This window comes from Homo sapiens, chromosome 11 (assembly GCF_000001405.40).
Source record: "Homo sapiens chromosome 11, GRCh38.p14 Primary Assembly".
Lineage (NCBI taxonomy): Eukaryota > Metazoa > Chordata > Mammalia > Primates > Hominidae > Homo > Homo sapiens.
Window position 1 is genome coordinate 102,421,633 of NC_000011.10, and position 12,758 is coordinate 102,434,390.

Below are 12,758 nucleotides of genomic sequence, written 5' to 3' on the forward strand. Positions count from 1 at the left end.
AAATTTAATATTTAATACTGAACATGTTTTCTTGCAAGACAAAGGAAAAATGGAAACTTCGCCAGTTACTAAAAACACATATTGTTTAATGTTAGTAATGGTACCAAACTGAAGATGGCAGTAATCTGGGGAAGGAGGAAGCAAATATTGAACATATGCTGTGTGCAGTCACCATGCTAGATGCTTTTCATATTTTTAATTTTTAAAAAATTTCGCATGATCTGTAGAACATCAATGGGAGATGGGTTTGCTCCTCCCAATTTGCAGATGAGAAAACTGACCCAGAAGGTTAAATAAATGCCCTGAAGTGCTGTTGGAGGTGGCAGTGAAGACACTTTAACTTAGGTCTTTGAGCTGCTCTGAGCCTGGTGCTCTTGTCATTAGTTTAGTGTTTCTTAACAAAAATCTACCTGAATTCTAGAGTCTGGCGTATTTGATATTAACTGTACATATTGATTAGGCATTAATTTTACCACTATCTTCACTGCACTAGAATCATCATCAATCAATACAGTGTACACACTTCATCACTAATGTTGATGGTAAAGGTGGAAAGAATGGCCGAGTGTGGTGGCTCATGCCTGTAACCCCAACACAGTGGGAGGCCAAGGCAGGTGGATCACTTGAGGTCAGGAGTTTGAGATCAGCCTGGCCAACATGACGAAACCTTGTCTCTACTAAAGAATACAAAATTAGCCAGGTGTGGTGGCACACGCCTGTAATCCCAGTTACTCGGGAGGCTGAGGCAGGAGAATCGCTTGAACCTGGCAGGGGGAGGTTGCAGTGAGCCGAGATTGTGTCACTGCACTCCAGCCTGGTTGACAGAGCAACACTCCATCTCCAAATAAAAGGAAAAAAAAAGTGAAGAGAATAACACAAACATCTGTGTTCTCATCATTCTGCCAATTAGGAAATCCCCAAAAAGTGTGCCCCTCCTCAACTGCATCCCTTTCAGAATAACCACTATCTTGAATTCTGGGTTTATCATTCTCACACATTTCTCTTTATTTTTACTTCACACCAATCTATTTCTAAGCAACATAATACCGTGCTTTTCATACATTAAAATTTTATATAAATAGCATCATGCAAAATGTATTTGCTTTTTGCACTCAATATTATGTTTATGAATTTCACTCATGTTGACATCTTTAGCTCTATTTCATTCATTTCTCACAGTATTTAAAATTTTTATCCTAAGAGCTATGTTTTAAGATGTTTTATGTTTCCATGAGTCTGGCATCATGCAATGATTAACTCCAATACCTTTCTGAACAATCTACCCAGAACAGAGCTGAAAGATAAAACATGTTAGTACACATTGAGGTTTTTTAGTTACAGGAGAGCTACCTCTCAGGCCCTCAGAACCCAACACCTACTGACTCGACAATCCCACTTCTAAGAATCTAGCTAAATCCTAGCTCAAGCTGCTAAAGGTGTGTATTTATGTTCACTGCAGCACTGTTTAGAAGAGTAAAAATAACCACAAATGGGGGCATGGCTAAGGAAAAATTACGGTATATCCCTACTATGTAACACAGTGCAAACATGCAAATGAATGAGATACAGCTATACATACTGTGGTGGTTTTAAAATATGCCCATAAATTCTTTGATAAGCCCCCCTTCAAAAAGTGAAGCCTCATTCCACTTCTCTTGTGGGTGGACCTAACCAGACTCTCTTCTGAGAACAGGGCAGAATGAAATGATGCTATACGACTTCTGAGGCTAGGTCATAATAAGGATAGCTCCCTCCCAGCTCCCTTTAAAGTCCACTCCCTTTTAGGGAAGCCTGGCATGATGCTGTGAAGATACTCAGGCAGCCCTATGGGGAACCTCATATAGAGAACTGAGGCTGTCTGCCAATAGCCAGCCATGTGAGCAAGCCACACTGGAAGAAAATTCTCTATCCCCAGTTAAGCCTTCATGACTGCAACCTCAGATCTGACCCCAGCTAAGCTACTTCTAAACTCCTGACACATAGGAACCATGAGATAATAAGCGTAGTTTTAAACCACTTAGTTCTGGGGTTCTGCTATGTATCAATAGATAACCAAAAATGTATTAACACAAAAAATCAGTAATTCATAGTTCAGTCAAAAAAGCAAGTTGTACAATATTATGTGTATGCCTTTTTTGTACAGTCACACCAGCTAACAGTGATTATTTCTAGGGAGGTATTGGGAAGACAAAGGGAGGGAGGAACGCATACTTATTTTTTTATACACTTTTGCATTACTTAAAATATTAAGTGCGTGCATTATTAACTCCTACAATTTTTAAAAGGCTATCAAGATTTTAAAAAATATATAAAAGTTTTAAACAAATTCAGATTTTTTTAAAAAAATCATCTCCTGTAAAAGAAAAGAACAAAATGACTTTAATTTTAGACACACTGCTAACAAGTTCTATTATGTGGTTTCCTAGTTGACTGCTGATTAAAAGCAGCAAATTGAGGGAGGAGTGGGCTATTAGAGGGAGGCATAATGCCAATACAAAGACACAACAGTTGAGTCTGTCACCAAAAAGGAGACAAAAGCTAATATAAGCCATCTGAAGCCACTCAAGTGTAGGAACAAAGACCCCTACGTATTTATAAAGAAACCTCTGAGCATGTAACTGTCTCACAAGACTATGATTATAAAAACAGTATTTATAAAGCAGTGAATACTTTATCATGTATTTATAAAGCAGTGAATACTTTATCAAGTATTCCATATACTTTATAGAAGTACACTTACTGCCATTTTACAGATTTGAAAATAAACTCAGGGCCAGGCACAGTGGCTCACGCCTATAATCCCAACACTTTGGGAGGCTAAGGCAGGTGGATCACTTGAGGCCAGGAGGTTCAAGACCAGCCTGGCCAACATGGCAAAACCCCACATCTACTAAAAAATACAAAAAATTAGCCAGGCGTGGTGGCGCACACCTGTAGTCCCAGCTAATTGGGATGCTGAGGTGGGAGAATCGCTTGAACCCAGGAGGCGGAGTCTGCAATGAGCAAAGACTGCACCACTGCACTCCAGCCTGGGTGACAGAGCAAGACCTTGTCTCAAAAAAAAAAAGAAACTCAGTAAGCGAGGGGAGTCAGGGCACAGAAGACCCTGAGTTTCATTCTAAGAGTTCAAATTTGATTTATATAGATAAGACTATTTACCTGGCACAGAAAAGGGAGCGGGTCAAAGCTTGTAGATATGGGTCCTCAAGCCACTACAGCCAGAATGAATGTTCCCTCCAGAACACCCAATGCTGTACTGATTGCATGCTCACTGAGCAAGTTTTTCAGAAGCACACTCTTGGTCAAAGACAAAAATATGTTTTTATTTGGTGTTTCCAGGAAACACTAGAGGCAGAAAACCTGTTTGTTGAAAATACAGAAGCAAGAATGAAGAATATCCTAATTTGTATCCATTTCTATTCTCAAGATGATAGCATATGTGTCTAATATCTGTCAATCAAATACTTGTGATCTCCAAGCAGCACCCAGGAATATCAGAAAGAAACAGAGGCTTTTACGCCAACCAGTTCTGTGCTGAAATTGTGGCACAGTCATCTTCTGTGTAGCTCTTTTTTCATCTCTAAAATAGCTAAAATAACACTTAACTCATATGGTTATTGTATGGAATGTAAGAACAAGGATGAAACACCTTGAACAACAACGCTTGGCAACAGCATCATGCTCAACAGATGGTTACGGTCCACTGTTATGAACACGAGCAGTATCATTTTATAACAGGTTATGTGCAAATAATAAAGATGGTTGGCTTGGACCTTCTTTTGAGCATAGACCCATTTCCTTCCCCCTCACCACTGTTCATGTTGTGTCCTCCAATGATACTGATAAAAAGCATTGTCTGTTTTTCGTTTGTCCATCTATCAATGCCACATCCACTCAGACCTAGGTCAAGCACTGTTTCCTCCAGGATTGTTTTTTTTTTTTTCTTTTTTCTTTTTTTTTTTTTTTTTGAGGCAAGGTCTCACTCTGTTGCCCAGGCTAGAAGTGCAGTGGCATGGTTGCAGCTCACTGTAGCCTCAACCTCCCAGGCTCAGTTGATCCTCCCACTTCACCCACCCGAGAAGCTGAGGCTACAGGCATGTGCCACCACACCTAGCTAATTTTTGTATTTTTTGTGGAGACAGGTTTCCCCATGTTGTGCAGGCTGGTCTTAACTCCTGGAGTCAAGCAATCTGCCTCCCAAAGAGCTGGAATTACAGGCATGAGCCATTGTGCCCGGCCCTCGAGATTTTCCTAACTGAAAGTAAGCTCTCCCTCTTCTGAGTGCTCACTTACATTATCTGCACCTTTATTATTGTACTTAGCATACTGGCCTTTTACTATAGTTATTTTTGTTCTTATTAACTTTCCAATTAAATTTTAAGCACCTCATGGTGATATTTATGTCATGTCTCTGTAGCTCCCCCAGTACCTGGCACAGTGCCCAACACATAGAATGTACAAATGAACATTTGTTGAGTGGCTATAATGAAATATCAGTCTTAGGTAACAGAATTTCCTCTAAATATCAAAAGGAAGGTCAGCTGGATTTTGGCAGCTTTGCTTTTGAGTCTAAATAACCATAGTATCCTATCAGAACTCTTGACTTTGCCATTCCTGACCACTGTGTTTAGATCGTTCTTAACAATAATAACAGTTAACACATCCATAGCACTTATGTGCCAGGCACTGTTCTGAATGCTTACCTACATTAACTCATTTAATCCTCACAACAACTTTAGGAAGCAGTAATAGAAGGGAGCCGATGCAGACAGCACTTTTACGCCCGCATCACAATTCATTTCCCTCTATATTTATTATCTTTTTTTTTTTTTTTAAGTGATGGTGTCTCGCTCTGTCTCCCAGCCTGGAGTAGATGTGGGTCCTCAAGGAGAACTGCTTTGAGCTAACTAGTAGACTTACAAAGTGCTCATCGTAAAAGATTTTACAAACAAAACAAAAAGCTTAAAACCCTTGAGTGGAAAGTTATCTAAGAGCAATTTCTTTACAATAATTTTCCCTGCTTAAAGAGGCTGCTATGTAAGTTTTAGCTACTGCAAAGAAGTTAGAAAAATTACCTTTGACTTCAAAAAGTTTACAACCAAGTAAGGTATGCAAAGATCTTTGGTGTCCCTTTGTTGCTGCTGTTTAACAATGAAAGCAAATTTACTTACTAGAAGACAAAGATACAGATTGAATAAACTCATGGCTTAATGTTTTTAAAGTAGTTCCCCCCCCCCCCCCATTTATTGCTCAAAATCCACAACTGGCTATTCAGTTGATAAAAAGTTTTGTGTCTGGGTATATATATCAGTTATTTGAAGTTCTATAGTTGGGATATTGCCAAACCAAATTGAAGTTTTCTAACTATAAATGTATTACTGTCTATTACAGGAGAGAACTCTGAGATTAAGTTGCAGGGTTTTTTGTTTTGCGGGTTTTTTTTTTTTTGCTGGTTCTCTTTTTCACAATCTAGTCTGTGGCTGGAACACACTATACATATCTTTATCCTCCATATCTAGCTAGCTCACTGACAAACATTGTTGTTCAAACACAGTTGGCTTTTGTTTAGTTTCTTAAACAATACATGCCTTTTAATATCAAATGGCACCATGCAATCCTACCACACTTACATGAACTCGATCAGTCTTCAGTCTTAACTTGTTCCTTGAGCTTTTTGTTGACTGAATTTCACAAAAGAGGACCCAGGTCTCTGCTGAAGTAGCACATGCCCAAGGACTATGAGGAACAAGGGGAGAAGGCAGAAGTGGAAGAGAAGGCAGAAGTGGGAGAGAAGAAATAGGGAGGGTATAAATTCTTTTTTTTTTTTTTTTTTGGAGACAGAGTCTCACTCTGTCGCCCAGGCTGGAGTGCAGTGGCACAATCTCAGCTCACTGCAACAGGGAGGCTATAAATTCTACGGAAATGGCTGGGTGCGGTGGCTGATGTCTGTAATCCCAGCACTTCGGGAGGCTGAGGCAGGTGGATCACGAGGTCAGCATTTCGAGACCAGCCTGGCCAATACGGTGAAACCCTGTCTCTACTAAAAAACACACAAATTAGCCAGGCGTGGTGGTACACACCTGTAGTCCCAGCTACTAGGGAGGCTGAGGCAGGAGAATCACTGGAACCCGGGAGGCAGAGGTTGCAGTGAGCCGAGATCGCGCCACTGCACTCCAGCCTGGGCAACAGAGCAAGACTCTGTTTCAATTAAAAAAAAAAAAATTCTACAGAAATAGAATGAAAATGTAAACATTCTACCAGTTCATTTAGGAAGACAAAGAATATTTACTCTGAGATTCAGAAAAGAATATACATATCTTATAAAAATTATCACAATAATCTTCTGGCAAGACACTCTTCCTCAATGAGGATATAAACTTGCTGGAAGGAAAAATGAGATGCTGATAAAAAAAAGTGATTTAACCAGGCCATGCATGGAGTCTAGAGAGGTCTGAATTGTCCCTTCCTCACCCTTCCTGGGAGTGTGAGTCTATCGTTATTTACTATTAGCTAAGAAGAAAAAAACAAGAGTACATTAATTTAAAAGGTTTTTCTTAGTTTAGGATGTTGATATTTCAGATCTAACTTCAATTTTTTATCCTGAATATATTATTACGTTACTACTGCAATATAATCTTAACCTATATTCTTCACAATTTAAAAAAAGTCATTTTATTTTATTTTTTTGAGATGGAGTCTCACTCTGTCACCCAGGCTGGAGTACAGTGGCACAATCTCAGCTCACTGCAACCTCCACCTCCAGGGTTTAAGCAATTCTCCTGCCTCAGCCTCCCAAGTAGCTGGGATTACAGGTGCCTGCCACCACACCCAGCTTTTTTTTTTTTTTATTTTTTAGTAGAGACGGGGTTTTGCCATGTTGGCCAGGCTGCTCTCGAACTCCTGACCCCAGGTGATCCACCCAGCTTGGCCTCGCAAAGTGCTGGGATTACAGGTGTAAGCCAGTGTGCCCGGCCCCCCCAAAAAAAAAAAGTCATTTTAAAGAAGTGTTTTTTCCCCTAGATTACTTTATCCCATATCACAAATTAAATGGCCATCTGGACAATTACTTTATAAAGCTAACTGAAAAAGATATTCTGAGATCCTCAGGAAATGATCCATCTCCAATTTAAGTGGTACATTTTTGCTGCAGCTCATCAAGAATAGGCTATAACTCTGACAAGAGCAGATGTTTCTGAAGAGAAAGGAGACTAGTAACTACTGGCCACCAAGTCTGGCCAGGGAAAATCATTACCACTGACTGTGGCTATGTGGCCAGTAGAATGAACATCTGTTCTTTTTTCCCTGCCCAGCTCCTGTTCCACTCTTCCTTCAGGCAAACACCCTTCGCTCACCCCCTGGGGTCTGGAGGGACTACGAGTGGGTAGGCACGAGATTCAAACCAGGTCAATCAGCCTCTCGCAGGAGTCTGAAATGTGAGTAGAATACACCAGGATGGACAACAGTTAACACAGTCATTTTGATGGCAGCCTCCTCAGGAGATTTGTTAATTCCTGTCCCTGAAATCCCTAGCCACACTAGATCTAGTTCAGTTTTCTTCTTTAGGTTTTGTGAATGTTGGACAGCAGGTGTCCAACAAGTCCTTGTTTATCTAAGTTAGTTATAGAAAATTTCTACTGCTTGCAACCAAATGATTTTAACAATATGAAATTTAAATCTGGGATGATGTCTACTTTCTTCCTGCTCTTTTCTCTTCTTCATAATCACGCTTACGGTTCCTCTTCAGTTTTTTTCCTCCTTTACAACAGAATGCACTTTTCAACTCATGTCAGCAAAAACATTACATGAGACTACTGAAAGGCAAGTTTTGGCGTACAAAATGAAGTTTCTAAAATGAGACTTTCCTCTTTGAGAAGGTCTTTGGCACTCTGCTAACCTTTGACTCTTGCCTTGAGAAAACATTTCCTTACAATTAACAAACATAAAAGCATGAATGCCTGTGTGTGTGCTGCAATGTGACTCTACTTACACCAAACCAACAAGACTATTTTCAGTGCAAAAGTAAACTCCTGACAATCATAGCATTCTACCAAGCAAATGTTTGACATCTTATACATAGCATCTTGTACTGTAAACTATTATAGGCTTCAGATGTAGCCAGACTCACTGCAATCAAATCCAAACTCCCTGAGGGACTTCAGCAACACTGCTCCACCATCACTAAAGCCTCACAACACCGCTTTCCTGTGTCACTTTTATTACCCTCTTTTATGTCAGCAGAAGCACAGATGCTCCTGCCTTGCCAAAAGCCACAGGGCCTGAACAACCCGAGCATCTCCAGAAGCAGCCTGTGCGATGGGAGCACCACACAGCAGGAAGACTGGTGGCAAGCATGGCCCTTCGTAGGGGCAGAGGCCTCTCTGATCTTCCAAATTGCTCTGTCCATCCCCTTCCCCATGCCACCTCTCCCAGCCAGCATGAGTACCTTTTCTGGATGGGCTTCATCTTTATGGAAACAAAGAGGCAAAGAACAGAGTTGCCCGGGACCACAGAAGACAACTGTGGCAATTCTCCCCTGTTAAGTGAGAAGACCAGAGTGCAGGTGGTGATTTGTTTTGACCAAGGGGCTCCATCTCACAACTAAGGCTGGTATAGCAAGCAAAAAACTCAAAAACTGGTTTACTCCTCCCATAGCATTCGCATATCCTTTACTGTTTCAACAAAAACAGCACTGGGTGCTGGGAAGGTGGTGGTGAGTAAAATCAGCCTTCCCCCTGAAGGAGCTGACTTTCTAGTTGGGGAGGCAGAGTGAGATGAAGCATCACATTACATTACTATAAGCCAGTAAACCACAAACTCCTCTGAAGGCTGGTATCCCAGTTATAAGCCTAGAGGTCTAGGACTGGACCTGAGGAAACAAGCTTGAGCAATCTAAAGGCTGAAAGGGTAACTGGTAGCCAGAAAAAGGCAAAGATGAAAGGAAGAGCTCTTCAGGTAGTGAGAACAGAACATGCAAAGGTCTCATGGCAGAGAGGGCAGAGAAAGGAGGAACCAAAAAGGTAAGTGTGGCCACAGAGCTAGGAAAAACACGTTTATTTAGGTCCTGGTTTTGTGCCAGGTGCTTTACATGTTACCTCATTTAACCCATGAGATGGCTATACTCTCTTAGCCGCATGAGACAGCCATCTTTCTATAATCAGCTCTATTTCATAGCAGGAAGTGAGAAGGCAGAGATTAAGTAGCTTGCCCAAATTCAATTAACAGCAAAGCAATTTTTCTCTTTGTATCTTCCCCAAAATACAACATAATACACATACTGGGTGGGGATGACATGGGGGAGGGACCACTAAACTAGTGAACCAAATTCAATGTGGGGTGAAAAAAGTAGTCAAACCAATTCTTACTGAACAGTCAGGTAATAGACTAAAAAAGTCATCACTTTTCAACTAGTTGTTTTCATGTCATGAAGATATAACCATAATGAAATGTTTTGTAGGAGAGGGTCAGTTCCCATTTTAGGAAACTGTGCTTATGTCATTGGATTAAAAAAGAAAAACTAAAAATAGTCGGTGGGATACTTAAAAAAAAACTGTATTTATGGTGTACAACATGATATTTTGATATATGTACACAATGTGGAATCGCTAAATAAATATAGGCATTACCTCACATACTTATCTTTGTAAACTGACAAATTACAGCTGTATAAATTTATAGGTATAAAGTGATGTTATGATTTATGAATACATGTAGAATAATTTAATCATGCTAATTAACATATCCATCACCTCAAATACTTATTTTTGTGGTGAGAACATTGAAATTTTACTCAGCGATTTTGGAAGGTACCATACACGATAAACTATATTCACTATGCTGTGCAATAGAACTAGAAAAAAGAAAGTTTTCCTCTTCTCTGAGGCTCTGTATCCTTTAACCATCATCTCCCCTTTTTCCCCACCCTGCAGCTTCTGGGAACCACCATTCTACTCTCTGCAGTTCCATCCATGTTGTCTCAAATGACAGAATTTGCACATTTGCTTTTTTAAAGCTGAATAGTATTCCATTGTGTGTATATGTATCACATGTGCTTTATCCATTCATCTGCTGATAAACAGTTAGGTTGATTCTACAACTTGGTGATATGGGCTGGCTGTGTCCCCACCCAAATCTCATCTTGAATTGTAATCCCCATGTGTCATGGCAGTGACCCGGTGGTAGGTAACTGAATCATGGGGGCAGTTTCCCCCATGCTGTTCCCATGATAGTGAGTGAGTTCTCAGGAGATCTGATGGTTTTTTAAGCGTCTGGCATCTCCCTGCTGGCACTTTCTCTCTCCTGCCACCCTGTGAAGAGGCGCCTTCTGCCATGATTGTGAGTTTCCTGAAGCCTTCCCTAGCCATGTGGAACTGAGTCAATTAAACCTCTTTTCTTTATAAATTAATCCATCTTGGGTATTTCTTCAAAGCAGTGTAAGAACAGATTAATCTAGTACATTGGTACTGGGAGTGGGGTGCTACTCTAAGGATAGCTGAAAATGTGGAAGCGACTTTGGCACTGGTTAACAGGCAGAGGTTTAAACAGTTTGGAGGACTTAGAAGAAGACAGGGAAATGTGGGAAAGTTTGGAACTTCCTAGAGACTTGGAGGGCTCAGAAGACAAAAAGATGTGGGAAAGTTTGGAACTTCCTAGAGACTTGTTGAACGGCTTTGACCAAAATGCTGATAGTGATATGGACAATGAAGTCCAGGCTGAGGTGGTCTCAGATGCAGATTTGAGGAACCTGTTGAGAACTGGAGTAAAGGTCACTCTTGCTATGCTTTAGCAAAGAGATTGGTGGCATTTTGCCCCTGCCCTAGAGATCTGTGGAACTAGAACTCGAGAGACACGATTTAGGGTACCTGGCAGAAGAAATTTCTAAGCAGCAAAGCATTCAAGAGGTAGCAGAGCGTAAGAGTTTGGAAAATATGTAGCCTGATGATGTGACAGAAAAGAAAACCCATTCTCTGAGGAGAAATTCAAGCCGGCTGCAGGAATTTGCATAAGTAACAAGGAGCCAAATGTTAACCACCAAAAGACAATGGGGAAAATGTCTCCAGGGCATGTCAGATACCTTCACAGCAGCCCCTCCCATCACAGGCCTGGAGGCCTAGGAGGGAAAAATGGTTTCCTGGGCCAGGCCCAGGGGCCCCCTGCTCTATGCAGCCTGGGGACATAGTGCCCTGCGTCTCAGCTGCTTCAGCTCCAGCCATGGCTAAAAGGGGTCAAAGTACAGCTCAGGCCATTGCTTCAGAGGGTGCAAGCCCCAGGCCTTGGTGGTTTCCATGTAGTGTTGAGCCTGTGGGTGCACAGAAGTCAAGAATTGAGGTTTGGGAACCTCTGACTGGATTTCAGAGAATGTATGGAAATGCCTGGAAGTCCAGGCAGAAGTTTGCTGCAGGTGTGGAGGCCTCATGGAGAAACTCTGCTAGGGCAGTGCAGAAGGGAAATGTGGGGCTGGAGCCCTCACACAGGGTCCCCACTGGGGCACTGCCTAGTGGAGCTGTGAGAAGAGGGCCACTGTCCTCCAGCCCCCAGAATGGTAGACCCATCAACAGCTTGCACTGTGTCTGGAAAAGCCACAGACACTCAACGCCAGCTAGTGACAGCATCTGGGAAGGGGGCTGTACTCTGCAAAGCCACAGGGGTGGAGCTGCTCAAGGACATGGGAGCCCACCTCTTGCATCAGCACGATCTGGATATGAGACAGAGTCATAGGAAATCATTTTGGAACTTTAAGGTTTAATGACTGCCCTACTGGATTTCAGACTTGCATGGGGCCTGCAGCTCCTTTGTTCTGGCCAATTTATCCCATTTGGAACAGGTGTATTTACCCAATGCCTGTACTCACATTGTATCTAGGAAGTAACTAACTTGCTTTTGATTTTACAGGCTCATAGGTGGAAGGGACTTGCCTTATCTCAGTTGAGATTTTGGACTTTTGGGTTAATGCTGGAATGAGTTAAGACTTTGGAAGACTGTTGGGAAGGCATCAAGTCTGAGGGCATGAGATTTGGGAGGGGCCAGTGGTAAAATTATATGGTTTGGCTATGTCCCCACTCAAATTTCATCTTGAATTGTAATCTCCATAATCCCCAAGTGTCATGGCAGCGAGCTGGTGGGAGGTAACTGAATCATAGGGGTGGTTTCCCCTACGCTGTTCTCGTGACAGTTTTTCATGAGATCTGATGGTTTTATAAGTGTCTGGCATTTCCCCTGCTGGCACTCATTCTCTCTCCTGCCACCCTATGAAGAGGTGCCTTCTGCCATGATTATAAGTTTCCTGAGGCCTCCCTAGCCATGTGGAACTGTGACTCAATTAAACCTCTTTTCCTTATAAATTATCCAGTCTCCAATATTTCTTTATAGCAGCGAGAACAGATAAATACACTTGGCTATTGTGAATAGTGCTGTAATGAACATGGGAGTGCAGGCATCTTTTTGACATACTGATTTCCAGTCTTTTGTATAAATACCCAGAAGTGGGATTGCTGGATCACATGGTAATTCTATTTTTAATTTTTTGAGGAACTTCCATATTGTTTTCCATAATGGCTGTACTAATTTACATTCTCACCAACAGTGTACAAGGGTCCCCCTTGTCCACATCATCACCAACATTTGTTATCTTTTGTCTTTTTGAGAATAGCCATTCTCATAGGTGTGAGAAGACATTTCATTGTGGTTTTAATTTGCATTTCCCTAATGATTCTTAATATTCAGCAATTTCTCATGTAACTATTGGCTATCTGTATGTCTTC

The 12,758-nt window shown here is 41.5% G+C and overlaps 1 protein-coding gene across 1 annotated transcript in view, besides 3 other annotated features; it reads right to left on the reverse strand.

Moving 5' to 3' along the window:
- Nucleotides 1-12,758, reverse strand: part of TMEM123 (transmembrane protein 123) — a 56,434-nt gene that overhangs the window by 25,301 nt on the left and 18,375 nt on the right. The window lies entirely within an intron of this gene.
- Nucleotides 7,326-7,503: a silencer, noted in NCBI's record as "fragment chr11:102299689-102299866 (GRCh37/hg19 assembly coordinates)". NCBI's record gives its function as "represses an EF-1alpha promoter that drives an FKBP-Casp9 reporter gene in an ReSE screen in K562 erythroleukemia cells {active_cell/tissue: K562}" and the evidence as "EXISTENCE:reporter gene assay evidence [ECO:0000049][PMID:32094911]".
- Nucleotides 8,128-8,187: an enhancer, noted in NCBI's record as "active region_5443". NCBI's record gives its function as "activates an Ori minimal core promoter by ATAC-STARR-seq in GM12878 lymphoblastoid cells {active_cell/tissue: GM12878}" and the evidence as "EXISTENCE:reporter gene assay evidence [ECO:0000049][PMID:35858748]".
- Nucleotides 8,268-8,417: an enhancer, noted in NCBI's record as "active region_5444". NCBI's record gives its function as "activates an Ori minimal core promoter by ATAC-STARR-seq in GM12878 lymphoblastoid cells {active_cell/tissue: GM12878}" and the evidence as "EXISTENCE:reporter gene assay evidence [ECO:0000049][PMID:35858748]".